The following is a 23,527-nucleotide window of genomic DNA, read 5'->3' on the forward strand; positions in this document are numbered from 1 at the left end:
TGAAGGTCAAGGAAGCCCAGGAGCTCCAGGGGGGTTATAAAATTGTCCACAGCAACTCAAATATATGAAGATTAAAATGATGAGGAAACTAATATGATTTCCATGTGAAAGAGTAAGTGGGATAACATGAAAAATCAAAAGACCCCAAAATGTTGAGGATGAGAGTACAGGTTAAGTGTCATTTATCTGAAATGCTTGGGCTCAGAAGTGTTTCAAATTATTGATTTTTTTCTTCAGATTCTGGAATATTTGCACCTATATAATGAAATATCTTGGAGGTGGGACCCAAGTCTGAACACAAAATTTATTAGTTTTACATACACATCATACACATAGCCTGAAGGTAAAATTATACGACATTTTAAAATAATTTGGTGCATGAAACAAAGTTTTTATGCTTTAAACCACCAGAAAGCAACGGTGTCACTATCTCAGGGCCCCATGTGGACAATGTGTGTTTATTCAACACCACCATCATTCTTGACTCTAAATTTACATACTACCCATAAGAAATCATTTTCTTGCGCTTATTCACTCAAAATTACTTAACAGTGAAAAATAGGACACACCATTAAAACAGTGAAGAAATAATGTGTTTAGGGTAACCAGGCCACACAATAACATGACCAGAATACCTGGATCAACTGTTAAACTGCAGCAACAAACAATGGCAGGTTTTCAGTCTCTACCTACGGCACTGTGTTTTGATGAAAAGGTTACCATACACTGGATTTTAACTTTTAGGTGAGAAGACACATAGAAGCAATTAAAGGACCAAAAAGTGGGTCTTCTAGCAATGGGGAGGTATTCTGAATAGCTGTGAATTGTGCACCTGTGTTTCCACCAGGACCCTGCCACATGAGATGAGGTGTGGGATTTTCCACTTGTGGTGTCATGCCGGCACTTGAACATTTTCAAATTTTGAACCATTTCAGATTTCGAATGTTTGGATTAGAGATGCTCAACCTGTATACAATATTGGAGAAAAAAATAAAATTAGATTATAGATCATTAATAATGATTTTCATTATATTTTAGACCTGCTTGTAAGCCTTTACTGTCAATTAAGATGAGGTAAAAATCCACTTTAAATTGAAAACGTGCAAAATTGGTGATTTCTATTATGAAAAGTATCTGTTATAAAATTATATGTGATTCTTACAATCCTATTTAATCACATACACCTTATAGTTATTTATAATATGTGAAATATATGCCAAACTATACCTTATTATTTCAATGACACATATTAGTCATAATTCAAAGGGACAGGCATCCCCTCAAGTCTTATAGAAATAAGGATTTTGCATATAAAGATGCATATGTACACAGGTTAAACATCTTTGCCAAGCATTTTTGCATAGAAACAACTATCTAGTACTTTGTAAATAATATTGCATCATTTTACTTTATATATGTTTCCTTTTTTTTGCCTAGCATTTATGAAATGGCAAAATTTTAAAGCAAGGAAATAATTATTTGCATAAACTAAAACTCAAAACATACACTTATCAATTTAATACTAATAGAAAAGTAGTAACAAATTATCATTAAAATTTTGTAAATTAATACCGATGCTTAAATAAGTATAGCCAAATTTCCTCCACCTGCTTTACATGCTGAAAAGCACTAACTCCCTTGAGAGGCCTGTAACTAATTTACCCAACAAATATTTTTTGTATCGATTCACAAACAATTTGTCTTTACATATTTTAAATTTGTCTTTAATAGTTTAAAAGCTTACAGATTTGACGGTGAACACAGGAACATTTGTCTTTTTAAAAAGAACACTTTCCCTCTTTAATAGCTGGAGCATCATGTTGTTTAGAGATAAACATAACAATTTTAATTTTTCCATAGAGCAATTTTTATACTAGGTTCACAAGTTTCATGGCATTGTATTTTTATAATATTCGAATGCTGTAACTTAAAATAGTTTTTAAAAGAGGAAAAGATAAATCTTTTAGATTATAAAATACAGCATCTAACTGCAAAGTTGGAAATCTCCCCTAAGCTGATTTATGGAAAAGGTAAGTTTATCTTGAGGTGCACAGTCTATTACATAGGGCTATGCATACTGAGAAAAGACGTTCATCAATGGACATTGTATGAGGCTTTGTTAGCATTATAATATTTTGGAACATTGGATGTAAAGTAACTTTAATGGGTTTTCCTAGCAGATTTTTGCTTGCAACTTTGTACTTGGCTTTAAGATGATTATTTAGGCATTAATGAATGCTTACAAACAGCCAATTTCTTTTCTCCTTTGAAATACCAAAAACACATGGAGTATAATGAATGTCTAGATTGTAACCCACGTTATTCCACATACAGAAAAGGATATCAAATAGTGATCTCAGATAGTGTTCCATTGTTTTTATATACTGTGGGAAAAAATATGACTTAAACTCAGTAATTTGTAATTATAAATCACACTTCCAAATGAAAATGTTTTAATTTTATTTTTAGTTTTTCAGTTGTATAGATAAAATATGGTCTTTTATTAATAACAACTTATGTTTTATATTTTAGAATTTGCTAAAATTCAATATAATAAAACTCAATTTAGAAAAATTCAATCTTCTTGCATTCTTTTAATTCTCCATTTTAAACAGCTTTTGTAATCCAGGTTAGATAAACTCATTTGATATATAGTTACTTAGTTCCTATTTTGTTAAAGGTATGCAGAAAAATAATTGCTAACTAGAAATTTTACTAATTCTTTAAAAAATTGTATTAGCTTAGCAAAAAAATTAGAAAGTTTCATGATTCAATTCAAAAGAAGAAAACCACATTAATGGCATCCATGAGTTTTTCACTTATTTTAGAATCAAAATATATTGTGGTTATGACTTAATACTTAAAATGATACTGAAACATATTAGCATTGAAATTTTCTCAGAGTAAACCAGTGTTATTGCCTGTGAATAATGTTGTGATTTCAGGTATAAGAAGAATATGATATGACACAGACCATCTGAGCCTAACCTTTCTTGACTCATCCTTGCCAAAAAAAAAAAAAAAAAAAAAAAGTCAGGAAAACACAGAAGCTGCTTTTAAAAATCTTTTTAGTCACAATTTACCCTCCCGCTAAGCTCATCTTTTAAAATAATAGTTTCTACATCTTATTTTTGTTTTTATGTCATCTCAGCATTTTGTATTGCATAGCTTTGTCTACCTGCTTTTGACAAAAAAACAATTGAGAGGGATCGTTAATGGATTTACTCATACACAAATAGTACTAATGATTTGTATTTGAAAAATAATTTGAATTAGTCACAAAACTTAAATGTCATTATTCTTTAAAAAAGAATGGAGACAAAAGGCAAGAGATGTTCTAATTGATAATTACAATTACATTAAACTTTGTTTGTGGACAGGAACAGGAAAAAATATAAAACATAAAAGCGGATGCAAGTTTGGTAGAAGCTTGGGTAAAGTTTGTGCTTAATTTGGATTAAAAATTATATTTATGTAATAAAACATCTTACCAACATTAAAACAAACAAATAGGCTGGGCACGGTGGCTCACGCCTGTAATCCCACCGCTTTGGGAGCTTAAGGTGGATGGATCTCTTGAGGCCAGGAGTTCAAGACCAGCCTGGCCAACATGGTGAAACCCTGTCTCTACTAAAAATACAAAAACTAGTCAGGTGTGGTGCCTCTGTAATCCCAGCTACTTGGGAGGCTGAGGCAGGAGAATCACTTGAACCCAGGAGGCAGAGGCTGCAGTGAGCAGAGATTGTGCCACTGCACTCCAGCCTGGGTGACAGAGTGAGACTCTGTCTCAAAACAAAAACAACAAACGAAATGTCAGTTTTAGTATTGTCAAACATTTAAACTCTAACAATTCATAAAGGCTTGTCTTTTAAATTTTCCTTATAATTTTAGTAAGGTACATTTCACACACTATAAAATTAATCAATTTTAAGTATGTAGTTCAGCGGCTTATAGTATAGTCACAGAGTTGTGCAACCATCCCCATAATCTAATTTTAGAACGTTTTCATCACCCTAAAAGAAAATTCTATGGGCATTAGGAGTCATTCTCCGTTCCCACTCTTCTTTACCTTTCCTCCCGTGACAATAACTGATCTATTTTCTGTAGATTTGCAATTAAAATTAGGTATTTCACTTATAAAGGGAATCATATAATACATGTTTTTTTTTTTGGTGAGTGTCTTTTTTACTTAGCTTAATGCCTTATAAGTTTATCTGTGTTATAGCATGCAGCGGTACTTCTATTTATTACTAAATAATATGTCATCGTATTAATATACTATACCTTGTTTATTAATTCACCAGTAGAGAAAGCATGGGTTATCTCTACTTTTTGGCTAAAATGAACAATGCTGCTATGAAAATTCATGCACAAGTTTTCCATAGACATATGCTTTCATTTCTCTTGGGCACTTGGAGTGAAATTGCTGAGTCATATGTAACGCTATATTTAACATTTTGATGGACTAAAAAACCCTTTTCCAAAGCAGTAGCACCATTTTCTATTCCTACCAACAATGTATGTGGGCTCCAATTTCTCTGCTTTGTAAACACTTGTTATTATCTTATTTTATCCTTCTTAGTATGTGGGAAATGGTATTTCATTGTGGTTTTGATTTGCATTTCATGATGACTAATGAGTTAGGCATCCTTTCATGTATTTACTGATAATTTGTATACCTTTGTTAAAGTATAAATTCAAATTCTTTGCCTATTTTTAATTGGGTTATTTGTCTTTCCATTGTTGAGTTGGAAGTGTTGTTGACATATTCGCGTGCTAATCCTCTCTCAGATAAATGATTGACAGATATTTGTTCCCATTTTGTAGGTTGTATTTCACTATTGTTTTATTTGCCAGACAAACATTTTTAATTTTAATAAAGTCTAACTGAATGTTTAGATATTAGGATCACAGTTTAAATTGGAATGATATTTTCCAATAAATAAACTAAGATTTTAAAGAATTTTCTCTTAGTATTCTTTTGTAGGAAGTTAATTACAAATGTTAGGCCTTTGCACACACTTCTAAATTGTACCATCATAATTATTATTTTCTTCAGATTAGGAGACTTGTATTCAGAATCTAATAAAAGCCACAAAAATAAATTCCCGAAAAAATGCATGCATAATCGTGCATACAAAATGGTGCCTATGTTATGACACCCCCTAATAAGAGTTTTTAGAACAGAAGATGGAACTCTGGCTGCATGGAAGCTATTGCTGCCAGATCCCATCTTCTTCTCTATAGATGATGAAATCAATTTTGAAAAGCTTCCGGATCATTGAATAGATATATTCTGCTGAATTGCAGAGAAAGTACTTTATGCAGTGAAAATTTAGCTACTTTTACCATAGGCGCCTTGCCTTTTAGTTGTACTTCTTGTTTACACTTTCGTTTTGATTCCCTGACACTTCTGCATAATTACATTAATGCCTTTGTTTCATATAGAACTAAACGTCTTGCCATCTCAATGCCAAAAACTTGAAATTCTTCGTCTAGAGAATGTTTGTCAAAATGAGATTGGACCCTGGTAATACTTTGTTGCCTGTGCATTTTGCTGTGCCTCTTAGATTTAAAAATATTTTTTTCTTGAAAAGAGCAGTATACAAATATCAGGTTAATGGAAATTCACATCACTGGGGACCATCAGGATCAATAAAGAAGGAGAGTGACAAAAACAAAGGCCTTGGGAATCACAGTTTACCTTGGTAATAATTGCAGAGTGTTGATAGAATGATCATGATGAACTGAAACAATCATTGACATAAAAGTGAAAACTATCAATCAAATGTTAGCACGTTAGCAAGTTTTTTATCGAGTTCCTATGTTGTCAGTGTTCTCATAGGTAATTTTCCTTGATGATAGTCAGAATCTTACAGCTCTCTGAAATGTATGGAGAAATCCAAATTCTGAAGCACCATAATAATATAAACCTGCTTTTTATTAGGACTTTGCATTATAGATATAGATATTTGTAATATGAATTTTTCTCACTTTACTTAATCTTATTCTGGGACCATACTTGAATGATTAATTGAGAAACAGAGGCAGGAGATTGTAGAATTAATGAAGACAAGAACCTCAATAAATATATGTATAGTGTATATATATATATATTTATATAAATTTAAAGGCTTTCAATAATTTTTATTTTGTAATCACTGTAATGTAAGTTTTTAAACTTGAGAAGAAAGACTCAGTGAACATGAAAACAGGTCCATGTAAAGCATAGAATATAACAAACTCAACAGAATCTGAATGACCCCTGAAACAATATGCTAGCATAATTGGAGCTCCAGAGGGAAAGGGGAGAAGCAATAGGAAGGAATATAGGCCTATTTCTTAAAGAAAAGATCGACACTACCAACCCCTATTTCCAAGAAGCACAAAGCGTACCAACAGGATAAACCCAGAGAAAAATACACCTAAGCACATCATACTCAAACAGCTGGCAACAAAAAAAGAGAATATATTAAATACAGCCGGAAAGAAAACACCCATTATATGCTGGAGAAAAGATGATTCGAATGAAGGCTGACTTCTCAGAAGAGACCAGAGACAACAGAATATTGTTTAAAATACTGAAAGAAAAAAAATCAGCCTTTAAATATGTAGCCAATAAAAAAACTGAGTGAATGTATTGCAAGCAGGCATGTAATATGAAAAATACTATACTAGGAAAAGTTCTTCAAGATGGAAGAGAATGGTAGTAGCTGGAAACTGAGAATCACCCTCAAAGACCTAAAGACAGAAATACCTACTCATCCCAGCCATCTCATTACTGTATATATAACCAAAGGATATAAATTGTTCCATTATAAAGACACATGCACACGTATGTTCGTTGAAGCACTACTCACAATAGCAAAGACATGGAATCCACCTAAATGCCCATTAAAATAGATTGAATAAAGAAATTATGGTACATATACACTATGGAATACTACGCAGCCATAAAAAGGAATGAGATAATATCCTTTGCAGTGAAAATGGAGCTGGAGGCCATTATCCTTAGCAAACTTATGGAGAAACAGAAAACCAAGGACTGCATGTTCTCACTTATAAGTGAAAACTAAATAATGAAAACACATGGACACATAGAGGGGAACAGTACACACTGGGGCCTACAGGGGTGGCGAGTGGAAGGAAGGAAAGGATCAAGAAAAATAACTAATGGGTACTAGGCTTAATATTTGGGTACTAGGCTTAATATTTGGGTACTAGGCTTAATATTTGGGTGATGAAATAATCTGTACAATTAACCCCTAGGACACAAGTTTACCTATGTAACAAGCCTGCACATGACTTAAAATTAAAAAATAAAAATAAAAAAAGAAAAATCACATGAAGGAAAGAGTAGCATCAAAAATTAAAGATATGTGAGTAAATATAAAAAGCTGTTATTTTCTCTTAAATATATATATTTCTTAAAATTGAATTAACTGTTAATAGCATAAATATTAATACATTGTAAGGGTTATAACAAATGTAGAAGTGAAATATATGATAACAATTGACAAAAGATGGAGTAAATAGACCTATTCTCTTGTAAGTTTCATATATTACATGTGACTTAATAAAATATTAATTCTAAATAGTCTGCCATATGTTGTTAGCATATTTAAAGTCATTAAGAAAACAATGTAACTGAGAAGTATAGCTAAAAATACAAAAAATAGATGTAATAAGCTGCTAAAAGGTAAAAGTTAAGAAAAGAATAAGAGAACAAACAAGAAATAGAACAAATTTAAAAACAAATAGCAGGTTAGTAGATTTACATTCAATCACATTAATAGTTATATTAAATGTGAATGAATGAAACACTCAGGCTAAAACAGATTGTGTCAGACTGGATAAAGAGCAGCTTCAAATTATATACTGTCTTAAAAAGACTCATGTTAAATATAAAAACAAATCTAGACTAAATTTAAAAGATGGAAAACAATATACAATACAAAAATCTTATGGAAATCAGACACATAAAACTACAAGTCTTTATAGTTTTATTTATATGGATTTTAAAAATAAGGAAAACAAATTATTTTGATAGAACAACTGTTGTCTCTGGTAGGAGTGGGGGACTTACTGTAAAGCAACACAGGAAACTTTCTTGGACAACTCAAGGATATTCTATACATTGATGGAAGTTGTGGCTACACAGATATACACATTTGTCAAAATTCACAGAAGTGCACATTTAGGATCTGTGCTATTACTGCAGATAAATGCACTTCAATTAGTAAAAGTATAAGAGCATAAACAAGGAATTGTATGCAATGAATGCAATAAAAAGAGCAGCAATATTTTCTTAAAATCCACAATAAATTTACATGTTTCTGAAAACAGAAATATTAATAGAAAAGTGTGAGGCAATCATCAAAGGACATAAATTAAATTAGGTATGAATCAAGAATCAGAGAAGTGTCTCTTCTACCTTATTTTTTTAAGTAAATATAAGTTAGATGAAACCACAAGAAATTCATAATAGAGGAAATCTGTTAGGAAAAACCTAAAGTGAGAAAAAATATAAATAAATTCAATTACAAATTATCTGAAAATATGTTTCAATTCACATAAAATACCTGAATATTAACTACATTTAGTTGTCCAAACATGTGAAAAGCATAGCCTATAATAGAAGATCAAAAATTGATAAGGAATATCTCTTAATTCTAAAATTATTTTAAAATAGTGTCTAAGTAAATAATTACTGTAATTGGGCAGGTCACAAATTATACATTTCTAAAATAACTAGAAGTAAAAGCTAATATATTACTGAATGCTAATTACTAATATGTAGTACTAATATTTCTGATAACTGTTAGCAAGTTGCTATTCCTTTTTATATTCTTCTTTGAATAAATGAAGTACGGAAGTAATATATTTCATGAAAGACAATTTAAAAATATCAGCAATGCAAATATCATAAAACAAAATTACCCTTTATCATATCTTTTGAATGTATATTTTTTAGATTTGTAAAAGTAACAAAAATTTAATTGCAAAATAATTGCAATTAAGTTTTTAGATTTTTTCAAATCTAAAAAATATACTTTCGAAATATGCTTATATCTCACAGAATTCATCTCACACTTTTTAATCCTCGTTCTTCAGTAAATGAAAACTTAACCTCTGTATTTTTTAGAGGACAGTGATTACCCCCTTTTTACTCCACATGACTCCAGTGGATAAAATCCCATCCCTTTGGCCTCAAGGGCTGACACATGATTAAAACTATGAATTGAAAATTTCCCTAGATACTCCCTGGGGAATATTTTTAACCTTCCATGGGATATGACTCCAGGGAAGAAAATTCTTGCCTTGATGTTTGCTAAGCCAGCTGATATAAACTTGGAGTTTCTGTGAACATCCCTGGACTGCCTGGAAAAAATGCCATCTGCCAACATGCCAAGCAAAACAGCTGAGAGAAGGGCAAAGGGTAGAAAGAATCTTGATGATGTTTAGTAAGTTCTGAACTCATCCCTATGTTTTCTATTCTATGAATCCTTCATCTCATTTTTTTGTTACTGTTTAATTAGGCATATTTGAATTGGGTTCCTATCATTTGCCACTGGAAGAGTCCTGACTGCCACAATATCACTGGAAAGAATCAGGTGACCTGAGTTCAATGTCAGTCTATCTCTCCCTCCTAGCAGAGCAACAGGGGAGGACAATTCAGTCAAATTTGCTACTTCTATTTTCCTTTCTACTATAGTGGATTAATGTGAGGATTAATATAATGCTTAGCACAGTGCTGGAAAAATAGTAAATACCCAATAAATGTTCATTTATATTATTAACTTTATCATACCAGTATCTTACCATTATTTCAGGCATGATGTAGTATTTTAAAAGTTAATTCGACCATAATTTGAACAAGTGTTGTGCTTCATGATAATAAATACACATGTTTTAGACGATACATGTTACTGCCTCTTATTTTAAACTTTCCTCTCTATTCATCATATAAACATTCTAGGAATCTTGAAATCTACTATTCTAGACATGAAGAGACATCCTCTACCCTCTCCTTGTTGATATTTTGTACATTTATGTACCCACATATATCCACATATATCCATATCTGTCAATGCATCAAAACTACAAATATGAATACAGTAACTATTAACATTTAAATTAAAGCCCTTACTCTAGTCTGTAGCTCTGGAATTTTATGTTTTAAAAACTGATGTTAAAATACACAGGTTCCATTTTCTTAGATATTTGATATTGTGTAAATATCAAATTTTATATTGCATAAATATCAGATTACTGTATCTTAAAAATTAGATAAGTATTGTATAAAACAAGGCCACTACTAAAACAAATGTATCATTGGCAATTTACATGTAATTATGAAACCACAAACTCATTGTAAAAGGATATAAAATTATGATCAATGACCTAAAAACTTTGTCTTTAAAGTTATCATGCTTCTAAAACTACCTGATCTTAATTATTTAAGGCAATAAACTTGCTAGTTGACTATTGAAAGTGTACACATGTAAGTAGCACAATATATGCAACATTTATACCAAAAGAAATATGAGCAATTTCATTTAATTACAATTCTGATTTTTGCATTTCCATCTGTTGTCTTATAGTAAATAAATTACTACTTACAGTAATTTATTTTTTTAACCAATGATGTAACTTAGTACAGTCTCTTCAGTATAAATTGCAAGACTCAAATTTTGGACATATCTGTGAAATATGAAATCATTCTATGTGCTCTTAGGCACTAATGGTGCCATATTATTTGTGTGAAATGTATTTTCTAAGCATTTTGTTAAATATGATACTCTTTTGATATGCAAATGGAAGAAGTGAGAACTCCATATGGAAATTAATGATGAACAAGTGGTATTCTTGTTTGCACTGTATTCTGAGGCTATGGTAAGGCACACTTTATTTTTGGATATGGAAAAATTGTGTTTTACCAATGTCAAAATGAGATCCCATAGATCAAGACTATTACAGAATAGGGTATACTAGAAAGCAACCAGGATTAATGTAAAGATCAAATCGGAGGAAAGAATATACAATGACTGTTTGCAACATGAGAATGAATGTAGAACATTTTGCCTCATCTTTTGAAAATTCTGAGAGAACTATTTTATGGAAAAAAATGTATTGAAGGACACAGCAAGCACTTCAAGTTGTCCCCCCAAAAAAGACATAGTTGGATTTTGTAATGGTAAAAGACTACCTTCAATGACTAATTTCTGAGCTGTCTTGTTAGTTTTCTTTGTTTACTTGATCATTTATTTTTAAATAGAAACTAGCATTCAGTGAGTAGCTACTATGTGTGAGCTTCTACATGAGCAGGGATACCAGCATGCCTCACAAATTATTACATCCAATTCACTCAGGTATGGGAATACTTTTACTCCCCCTATTTTGCAGATGGACAAGTTTTGAGAAGTCAAGAAATGTGTCCAAAATCAGATATCTGGTTAAATGACAGACACATGGCAAATATGAATAACTTCAGTTTCTGTGGGCTTTTTTGTTTGTTTGAGGCAAGGTCTTCCTCTGTAGCCCAGGTTGGAGTGTAGTAACACAATCACTGCACAGTGTAGTCTCAACCTCCTGGGCTCAGGTGACCCTCCCGCTTCAGCCTCCTGACTAGCTGAGACTGCAGGCACGCGTCACCATGCCTGGCTAAGTTTTTTTTGTTTTGTTTTGTTTTGTTTTTTTATAGTGACAGGGTCTCACTATGTTGCCCAAGTTGGTCTCAAACTCCTGGTGATAAGTGATCCTCTTGCCTCAGCCTCCCAAAGTGCTGGTGTGAGCCACTGTGCCAAGCCTTCAGTATAAATTTTAACTACAAGAAGCTGTTCCTGCTTATCCAGGAATGTTTATGTATATGTGTTTATAAGAAAAGCAGTCTTTTAGATTTTTCAAAGAAACAAAAGTTGCAAATTATTTTAAGGGAGCATCCTTAATTAAATTAAATTTATATAATATGATATTAAATTGGACAAAATATCTTTAATTATCATTTTCAGCTCAGATATGTGCATAAAAATCTGGGTCTGTTGTCTACATCATTAGTTTGGATTATTCCTTTTAACCTTATATTTTCAAGTATACATGAATTTCATTTTGCATTGTCTTTCATACATTAAAAATTAATAATAAATGATTCATTTATTATTTTAAAAAAGCTCATTCAATGATATGGTTTAACTCTCATTTGATTATCAAATTTCTTAATCTAAAATTTTTATTCTGATTATTATTGGGCAGTTTCATAATTCTAATGAAATATATTATTGAACTATGCTAATAAATAATACTACTTTGAAAATGATGTCTAAAACATCAATTTGAATTGTGGAACTCTTCCTAGGCCTATAGTGAGTAGTAAGTATTATATAGCACTGAATAGTATAAATTCTGGAATCAGAAAGATTATAACATAGAAATAGGAGTGACCTTCTGTAAATGACTGAACCATCTTTGACTCTTGGTTCTTTCATCTGCAAATGGCACAATACCTTTTGCGAGGAGTAATCAAGTAGCATGAGATTGGCAGAACCTTCTTGTTTTTCAACAACTATCATATCTCAGACTTTCTAACTTAGTAATACAATGTCCAGATTTAACCAGCCACATAGACACATAGTCAATGCCTCCTTTGCAGTCATGCATGGCCACGCTACTATGGTCTACGCAATGAAATATCTATAGTTGTAATGTATACAGCTTCAGGTCTTGTCATAATAGAAAGTAGAGTGCCCTCCCCTTCTCTTGTTCCCTTTTCTGCTTGTAGGGACTGCAGGTCTTGGATCATAAAGTAGAATCTCTGGATTGGGAACAGAAGCAAAGAGCTAGTAACTTGGAGCCCTCCCTCTATAAAGACACCATATCCACACAGAGTATTATGTAAGTCAAGAAAAATTCTCAAATTTTAAATTGTGTACAACTTATCTGAGTATCTTGTAGAAATTCAAAATTTGATTCGAAAGATCTTGGTGGGAACTGAATACTGCATTTCTAAGAAGCTCTCAGAAAGTGCTTATGTTGCTGATCCAAGGACTCAACATTGAATATTAAGAATGTAAGACATTTACTCACAGTCTGTTATACATGTGAGAGAGAAAAAGCTATCTTGCCTAAATCATTTTTATTTTGGTCTTTGTTATAGTGGAGAACTTGAATACCAAACACTATAATGTGTGAATTTCTTAGTGTAATGACTTCCTGAAATGAAGCTTCCACTAAAGATTAATATTATCTGTATTAGCACTATTGAATTATTAGTAATTATTGAAAAATGCTTCCATTTAAAAAACTTGTGGAATTCTCTATGAAACAACTTAAAAAATCTTTACCAATTAGATAATGTTCTCTTTCTCTGCAGGTGTGCACATTTACACAGATGCATAAACATATTAAAATATTATATATGTGTATGTATATGTTACATGTTGGTATATTAAATAGTATCCTCAAAAGCTAGTACCACCTAGTATTTACAAGGCGATCTGTAATCACATTTATTTCTGCCATAAGTGATGTGTGAATCACAATCAGGGATTGAAAAATTCCTCAGAGATCAGATCTGAAGCATACGCGTTATGAATTGCCCATGCATTGAAATCTAACCTCTCTTCCCCATGGAAACCTCAGGGAATTAGTATTCAGTATTATTGTATCAGAATTTAAATACATGATTTAGCCATGGCTATAATGCAGTTTAGATTGTAAATTATAAGATATCATGTACCCCAATTATACTACATAAATAATGGATATGAAGAATAAAGGTAGAGAAAATTATTGTACCAGTAATTTTAAAAAATCTAATTGTATATAATCAGGGAAAGAGAAGTTCTTTGAGGCAACCTTGTCTACACAGCTAAATGGATTGCGATTAAAAAAAATTTAAGTAAAATTACTCTCTGTAGGTCCAGAAATGTTCCATAATTATTCAGAGAAATATATATTCTCTAAATGGATAATTAAGATGCAATTATATTTCATTGACTACTGCTAAGCTTGGAGAGATAAAGAAAGAGTTTAGACATTATCTAAAAGGTAAATATGTACTGAAGTATTTATTTCCACTGATTAAAAACAGTCATTTAAATTATTTAAACTTAATTTATATTATCAGTGGACACAGGGCTATAAAGCTGAGAAGCAAATCTACATAGTTTAGTAAGACATAATAAGTAAATCCTTACCTTTGACAATGCTAAGTAAATTATTTGCATAAGAGTAAATGATGTTTTCAATATTACTTTGGCAACATTAAATAACTAATGAAAATTTATGTTAAGTAACATGGTTATAAATATTAAAGTTTTAGACTAACTCACTTTAATTCTGGTCTTTATTTTCCCTGTCTCTCTTCTTTCCCTCTCCTTTTCACACATCAAGCCACTTTAATATGACTTTTGCCACACAGATTTAGAAAACTATTCATTCAGAGATCAAAATGTCTTAGTTGGCAAATCAAATGAAAAACTTTTAGTTCCATTTACTTGTCTGTATCATACTCTTCTCAAAATCCCCTCCTCCCTGAGTTTCTGCATTTCTACTCTTTCTATTTCCCGAACTACTCCAGCAGTTCTCCCTATATTCATCATCCTCTGACCATCCCTTAAATACAGCTGGTTGCCTTTCCTGTCCTCCTCTCTTGTCACCCAACTTCTATGGTTCTCAGACTTGTTTAGTTTACTGACACCTTTGAGAATCCAATGAATATGACTCTTTTTCCCAGAGGAAATTTTTAAAAAATCAAATTTTAAGGTAATGTCAGGAGATTCACGGATTCCCAAAAGCCAAACATAGGGCATCCCTGATTAAAAGACTCTGCTATATAAGCTTTTTCATACATTTGTGTGGCTTTCGTGACTATGCTTTGTTGACAGATTCCATAGCTCTTTTTTAGCTCAGTCCAAAAGCTTCCATAATGGTTCCAGTGTTCAGTTAGACAGCTACTTTGGAAGATCAGGGTTATATCTCATATGCAATATATGACCATAAGTTAATATACCATAATCCCTCATTAAAACATCTAGTCTCTATCTTGATTGATGGCCCCATACCCAGTAAGAAATATCCTCATTCTTTACCTGTTCCTCTGCTTAACTCCATATTATAGAGTCACTCAGTGTATTTTGCTGATTTTTGTTCTCCAGCATTTTGTAACTAATTCCATAATGATGCCTTTTAAGGTGGTCAGAGAGGCATAGGACTGAGTTGACGATGTTGTTATTCACCCAGGGAAGGATAACGTAGATAAGGCAGAACTTAACCTACCACTGGAGACTACACCCTACCTCTGCAAGACATTAAGCCCCTGCCAGTTCCTATTTTCTCTTTTCCAAGATTGCAAACCTCATCTCCCCAGGGTATACAATCCCTGACAGTCTGTAAATCAGCAGGTATAAATTCTGCTTCTAATTTGTAATTACTGGGTCCACATCTCAACAAGTTAGATTAAGAATTATTGAAATCGCCTTTATTTAATTAGAGAACATGTTTCTCACTAAATATAAAATAGTATGGTTTGAAATATAATGTTGTGTGCCTTGAAGTTGCTTTTTAGGTTACTTTTCTTTTTATCTTTTTGGTCAATGTTCCATGATTCATTCACCGGCTCTATATTCTACCCAAGCTTATTATAGCACTAATATTAATAATGTTCAATTTTATGCATATTTTTCAAGAATATTTGTTCCTGTTAGAAAAAAAACAAAACAAAACAAGAGCAGGTTGTAGAATGGAAACTGACTGTTGGATCTTGAATTCTTATCCATTTTCTGCGAACAGTCCCTATTATTAATGTATATTATTACTTCAAGTATGTCAGAAAAGGAGACAAACAGTCAGAGGCAGGAATTTCTCCCTAATTCACTCTGCCTAGCCAGCAAAATGTAACGCAAAATTATTCAGGGGAAAAATACAATTTTCTGTCATCTCTGTCATACACTGATAACAAAGCTACAGGCTAATATGTTTTGATATTTTTGTCACTCGTTTATCATGTGACCTTTCATGCTATCATTAATACAGCTGAGGGACAGAACAGATACACTGAAATAAGGGTGTGGGGAAGTCAGATTGCTTCTCTAACAACCAATGGTCAGTCACAGCAATTTATGCTTTTCTCCAGTATAGCCCTGACCGAAGAAGAGGAATTGTTATTAAAATTTGATATTACTGTCTAGGTTCTGCCACCTAGAATTTGCAACTTTTAGCAATGATGGGAATACTGGAGGGTTAATAAATTTCCCTTTGAATTATGATATTAATACAATACAACATGCCTGTTCAGATATTCAGAGCATATATATGAGAAAATGTATCCTAGACATTTGAACATTGACTATTAGTCATACTCTGATTTGGTAAATCCAGAGAGCACATTAAAATATTATTGCTGAAATTGCGCTGCATGTGTTCAGCAAAAACTGTTGATATTTTTAAAGTATAGATAAACCAAAATAATTTATGGTGCTGGAGATCGTGAAATGGACACCCCAAAGTTTAATTCATCTTGTATTTTCTTTAATGATAGATGATACCTGGTTTAAATTTGCATGCAGCCTAGCACCATTTCTGACAATGGCCTGGTTTTTATGTTGCCCGTAGAGGCTGGGCTGTTAAAATTCCAATATAAAACTAATTTATACTTGACATTAATGAGTTAAGAAATGTTTTATATAGTACGTCAGGGCAGGGAAAGAACTTTACAGGGTTATACTAAAATCAAATTATGTCTGAATACCACCATTAGGTACAAAAATGAAAAATTCTTCCCCAATGTTAGTTAAGTGCTAGTACAAAGCTCGATGGTTTTACTGTTTATATTAAGGCAACAATTTTGCTTTCTTTTTCACCATAAGGAAATATGATAATATAAAGGTAAAATATTAAAAATTTAAAGTATGCACATCTATAAAGGTTATGAGAAAATATAGGGTTTTGTTTTAAAATTGTTAGTATTAGCCTAAACTCCTTTATTAAACAATAACAATAAATAATAATTGTATCCCTTTCAAGAATATTTTAAAAATACAAATAAGTCAGAAAATGACCTTTCCACAAGGAAAAAAGAAGTAAGGTTGAGAGTTTTATGTAGAATTGTTAAGTAGGTGCCAGAGAGACTGTGAACATGTATAGTGAATTCTTAAATTTTATTATGATACATTTTATGAGAGTTACAGAGCATTTTTATAATCAAAATCAGCACTTACTAATTGGATAAAACTACTAGCATGATGGTTTTTAAAAATTCATTTTGTTTTGGAATTTTGCTTGTCTTGTGTGTATCTTAATATTAATGCAAAATAACACAAACTTTATACTTCAAATGAACTTTGTAAGTAAAAATAATTTGTGTAAGTATTTTATGGGAATTCTACTTGTATTTTGAACTCGTATTATCAGAAATATTTTATTGCATGTTTATTTTACTGCATAATATGATATAAGCATGTTTACATTTGTGAAGATATGCTTATATAATAAACAAATGCAGAACATTTTGATAAAACAGTGTATCAGTTATTCATGTTAATTAATGGAGGATTTCAGGAAAATATTAATTGTATAGCTCATGTAATTTATTTCATTGAATGGCATATAACAAACCTTATTAACAAATACAAACTCAGTAATATAATTATATTAAAGTTAGAGCATTTGCTTTTAGAAGATGACACATAAATGTCTTTTAATATAATGTTCAAGTCTCACTTTGTATTCTTTCATTATACTGTACTCAAGCAAGGATTTGCTAAGAAGAACTTTCATATAACTTCTCCATCACAAAAAATAACTTTGGCATGGGAGAGAAACTTCAATTGAAGGGTCAGAGTTGATTCAGTATATGCCTGGTTCATCCTCTGAATCCCAAGAACAGATTATTCACCAAAGTGAGTCTTACAAAATTCCACTTTTTATTTATGTCATGAATAGCTGGTTATGAGAAGAAAGTGGAATAGGTTGGGGAAAAGAAAATGAAGAGGAAGGTTTCTACTTTCATAAAGCAAATATCCTGCATATGAAGCAAAGACATCCAAAGAAATTTGTATTGCGTCATTCCGGAAGGGAATTCTAAATGGCTTAGCTTCTCCAGGATGCAAACTTATGTGTTACATGCTTGCCTAATTACCATTTAAGGGAGTTTCTGGAAATAGAGTGTTAGCACAATTTAAAGGAGTTTATTTTTTTCCTTACATATAAATCTTATCAAATAATGTATTTCACCGATTTTTTGAAAAATTTTTAAAAGTTACATATTGCTAAATATACATATATACACTTTTTTTCCTGTTGTTGGGGTTTGAGGATTGATAGTGGGGTGCAAAGCTAAATGGAAAAAGATCCTAAGTTAAGCTTCTACACTCAGCTTCAGTGGGATATGTGTTCTGTTTTTATTGTAATTGTAACATTATTATAAAGCTGTAAAATTAAGGGTTTTTTTTTTTAAATTTTTCAAGTCTATAATTGGATGCTTAACAGAAAAAAGTGATTTCAAGTCCGGTATTCCTGTTTGCATGTAAATAAAGCCCTAGTCACAAACAAAGCCAGCAACCTCACATACTTGCCTTCAGTGGTAAAGGATGGAGAGCCTGCCTGCTACCAATCAGCAAGTGGTTGCTATGGTTACAAGGTCAGGAAATATGCCTTTTCCCCAGTTGTCCAAGGCTTGCACATGTCACTTTTGAAACTATGGATTTTATATACAGGTCAGGAGATGCATACCAAAGAAATAAACAGTGAACTGGACCATAATGACAGCTAACTTTCAAATGTCCTCGGATTTTTTACATATCTAGGCAAACACATTTTGTTATTTTGAATGGACTGGGTTTTGTTTGTTTGTTTTAAATATTTTTTGAACAATTTTTTGTCTAATAAAATTTTATGTGTTAGCTTGAAATTGCGTTCCTGTATTGTAAGCTTACATCAATAACATATTTCAGAAAAGATTTATCTTTTCCCCTTTTAAAAACGATTTTAAATTGCAGCATTGGAATATTATAAAAATATAATGCCATGGGACTTGTGAACCTAGTATAAAAATTGCCCTATAGAAAAATTAAAATTGTCATGTTTATCTCTAAACAACATGATGCTCCAGCTATTAATGAGGTAGTGTTCTTTTTAAAAAGATAAATGTTTCTGTGTTCACAGTCAAATGTGTAAGCTTTTAAAATATCTAACAAATTATGAAAAATTAATCTTGTTTGTAAATCAATAAAAAAAAATTGTTGGGTAAATTAGTTACAGACCTCGCAACAGAATTAGTGCTTTGCAGCATATAAATCAGATTGAAGAAATTTGATATTTAAGCATTGGTATTATTTTTAAAAAGTTAATGACAATTTGATACTATTCTGTTAGTATTAAATTGATATTTATATTAAAAATATTAAATGTATGTTTTGAGTTTTTTATGGAAATAATTATTTCCTTGCTTTAACATTTGTGCCATTTCATAAATGCTAAGCAAAAAAAAATGAAGAAAATGCATGTAAAGTAAAATGATGTAATATTATTTACAAAGTGCTAGATAGTTGTTTCTATGCAAAAGTGCTTTGCAAAAATGCCTTACCTGTGTAAATATGCATCTTCATATGCAAAATCCTTATTTCTATGAGACTTGAGGGGATTCCTGTCCATTTGAAATATGACAAATATGTGTCATTAAGATAATAAGGTATAGCTTGGCATATATTTCACATATTATGAATAATTCTCAGGTATATGTGATTAAATAGGATTATAAGAATCACATAGAACTTTACAACAGATACTTTTCATAATAGAAATCACCAATTTTGCACATTTTTTCAATTTGAAGTGGATTTTTACATTGTATTAATTGACAATAAAAGCTTAAAAATAGGCATAAAGTATAATGAAAATCATTATTGGCCTGTTTTTAATTTTTTTTTCTGAATTGATGCTTTTGTTGAAATAGACATTATTTTTTTTCCTTCTCTTTATCTCTCTCTCTGTTCTCTCTCTATCTCTTTCTTTTGGGTCAGGAAAGATTAGTCCTTACCTTGATAACAATCCTTCCCATTTTTTAACTGAAAGCAGCATTCAAATGAGAAACTAAGTACATTTCTTTTCAACAGGCAATTTACCCCATGATGAGATATGCTTTCACTTATTTTTCTTTGACATTCTAGCATCTAGCAGCACAGCAGGTATCTGGAGGTTAGGCTTCAAATAAAGGATAACTACATTCTTACGTTAATAGATGCCATTGTATGACTATGTCATATTATTGTAGCATTTAGTTCCTTTAATTGTGCTTTTAAAATTATACATGATAAGCTGATACAAAGCGAGAAAAATATCAAAATCAATTCTGTTATTATTGTTCTATTTGTACACATCTGCTTACATATACAACTCACTGTTCTCCAGTCATATGATTCTTTGAAACAATTAAGAAAATGATTAGTACCATTTTATTTATACAAGAGAAGGCTCAAAGGATTTAAATTTTACTGAATTGACCCTTTATGCATTTTATTGGTCTTATGTGGAAGGAAAATACTCCAGCAAATATAAAGCATCATATTATATTTCTCAATATTAGGAATTTTGATGTCTGACATAAAAATATAAATAGATTTTTTCACCAGAAATACCATTTGATATGGATATAGTTTACACAGCGACGGTAATGCTGCTTTTTTCCTCTTCCTTCTCTTTACACAGTTTCTACAGAAGACTGCTTTATGCTATCTTATGAGCTTTTTCCCCTCTTTTTGGTGACCTTTCTGTATGGCCAAATGAGTCCAGGGTATATGTCTTGTGGCCTGTGTGCAACCTTGCCCATTAGCCAGTTCCCAAACCTTTGATGTGAACCATCAGCCCTACGATTTCTGTGGTTCATTCATTTTTGTGTTTCTCTAACGATCTCTGCCCCGGCTCTGAATCCTGCCTTTATTGTAGACAGAACTGACAACAGGCAGCCTTGTCTTTCATTTCCTTGATGTACTTTGTACTGTGGTATGGCTTTTGTTAGTATTGATGCAAACATTACCATAAACCACCACCTAGGGACTAGAAACAATTGACTAACTGTTTTCAAATCCAATACACTTAAGTTGATCAGACACAAAGTTTAAGTACAGTTAGCTATAACAGCACCAATTCTGTGTGGTCTCAGTCTCTCTAGACTACAAAATAAAGGTCAGTGGAATGCAGATGCTTATGTCAAGACAGCTTGCGATGAAATTTATTCAAGAGATGAATATTGGACCAAGAACTCATTCCTTCACTTCTTCAACATAAGAAATGCCAATTCTATTTCCTGGTCTATTTTAAATGATTTTCTCTTTATCTACTTAACAGCTCATTCTTAATAAGAAAAATGGTCTGGCATGCAGAAGAAGCAGCTCTTCTATGAACAAGTTCAAATTTTGATGAGATGTACATTTCAAATTGGCAAATGTTAAAATTTTTCACTTAGATTCTAAATTGCAAGCTCAACATCATTCAGCTTATTATAATAACTAAATGTGCCACAGCATGCAGAAGAATTACAAAGTTAACTATATTGTAAATGCAAAACTGTGTCTGACCCTTATTGTGTAAGGAGCAGAGGCAGGGTCATTTTCTTTTTGAGACTTGTGAGATCTTAGATTCAAGGCTTTGTAAAAAGGGCTATTCAGAGTCAGTTTCCCATATGATGCTTCAAAGATATCAGCTCCATCTTTGAAGTTTCTTCCTAAAATAATCAACTGAGAAATTGGGAAATTTAAAACAAAAAGATTAAGAAAATGAAGTAGATTTGAGGCATCTGCTATTTCTCTACCTCTCCAACTGTATATTAAATATACAATAATATTTTAACCAAATTCCTTATTATCTTGTTAAATATCCTAGTGCTTTTAAAATTCCATATATAAAATATGAACAGGTCTTTTAAAATATACATATTGAAATCTTAATATTTCTTCAAAATGAGATTTTGGTGAAGTGCAAAATTATACCACAAAGAGTTTTTATAAGGATATAGATTATATAAATTGCTAGTTTCAATACAACTCCCTCATCAAAGTTACACAGCTGTGTAATATATGAGCTCTATGGTTTTTATTCTATAGATATGCCTAGTTTCACATCTTTTATCTTATTTAATATCTTTTTAAAAAGCAACAATGGTTTCCAGGCATGTAAAGGTAGTTATCACACAACTATTACTAAAAGTAACTTCAAAGTATACAATGGAAAATTAAATTAGATTATAATACTGTGCCTGCCATTATTTTTCTCTACATCAAATAATTTTTGTATGCTATATATGCATTACAATTTATATTAGGTTAGTGCAAAAGTTTTAATGGCAACAACCACAGTTACTTTTGCACCAATTTAATAGTATTCCATATATTTAAAAAACATTTAATAGTTATGTGCATTTAATTTTAGTAAAATACAATATCTGAGACTTTTTTCCGTGCAATTTTTTTTATATTACAGAATAAGTGACCTGGAATTACTATTTTATGGAATTGTATTTATTGAATTTACATTATAACTAAATTGGTTGAGGCTTACTCAGCCATTCTTCAGTAGACAGCTTCACTAAGTTCCATTCATATTGCATAAATACAAGGGAGGCAAAATGATTTAAGTCATGAGTTCACTATGTCATACCCTTCTTGACATCATTTTATTTTTTAACTATCTTCCAATGGACCATATAAGATGTATAGGTGTTGATGGTTTAGGTGACTAAATTTATGTACAGAATCTCTTGCTGAGTTGCCAAATAATTGTATTCTGAAATAGATTTGGTAGGTTAAGTGCAATTGTTAACCAACTGAAAATGTTTACTTGAGTCTCATAATGTACACAAATGCTTGAACTAATTATTGCCTGCGATTAATAATCTGATGTGGCAAAGCTATTATTAAAGACCTCAGTAATAAATACCTATATAACTGCTTTACAGTTAAACATTGCAGCATAATTCATAATAAAATGTATTGTTGCCTTCTGGTGATTATAGAGACAGTGGTAAAAATCTTAACTAATTTCACAAATAGATCAAAGTAAAAATATTTTAGTCCACCTATGCACTCGAACTATCTTTTTAATATATAATTTGCAAGTGATTACCTGATTAGACTGACCCACTTACTAAATACTTATAAAATTAGGAGTGCTTCACTCAGGGAGAGAGGGAATGATCTTTACATTTTTTAAAAAATAAGAATAAATATTTGGGGTACTTGAAATAAGCACATATCTATTTTTTTCGGAAAAGCTTTTATTAAGGAGCATTTTTTTCTTCCATAAAATTTTAAGGCAATTTTATACCACAAAAGACATGACAAAAAATATTTTTTAGTTTTGTTAAATCGTGTGAATCTATGCAACAGTAATAGTACAACCACTTCTGTGGCTATTTCCTAAGACAATAAATGACCATCTATTTTAAGTAATTCCATGTTTATAAAAGATAATATTTAGTCACCATAAATTAGTTATATATTAAATAATTGGCACCAAATTTTTAGTTTATTGTTAA

The 23,527-nt window shown here is 31.4% G+C and overlaps 2 annotated features.

The window, feature by feature from the left end:
• Positions 19,836–20,431: an enhancer, noted in NCBI's record as "OCT4-NANOG hESC enhancer chr8:76887738-76888333 (GRCh37/hg19 assembly coordinates)". NCBI's record gives its function as "activates a minimal SCP1, AML or CMV promoter by ChIP-STARR-seq in naive H9 embryonic stem cells {active_cell/tissue: H9 hESC(naive)}" and the evidence as "EXISTENCE:reporter gene assay evidence [ECO:0000049][PMID:30033119]".
• Positions 20,619–21,272: an enhancer, noted in NCBI's record as "OCT4-NANOG hESC enhancer chr8:76888521-76889174 (GRCh37/hg19 assembly coordinates)". NCBI's record gives its function as "activates a minimal SCP1, AML or CMV promoter by ChIP-STARR-seq in naive H9 embryonic stem cells {active_cell/tissue: H9 hESC(naive)}" and the evidence as "EXISTENCE:reporter gene assay evidence [ECO:0000049][PMID:30033119]".

Source organism: Homo sapiens, chromosome 8 (assembly GCF_000001405.40).
Source record: "Homo sapiens chromosome 8, GRCh38.p14 Primary Assembly".
NCBI classification, from domain to species: domain Eukaryota; kingdom Metazoa; phylum Chordata; class Mammalia; order Primates; family Hominidae; genus Homo; species Homo sapiens.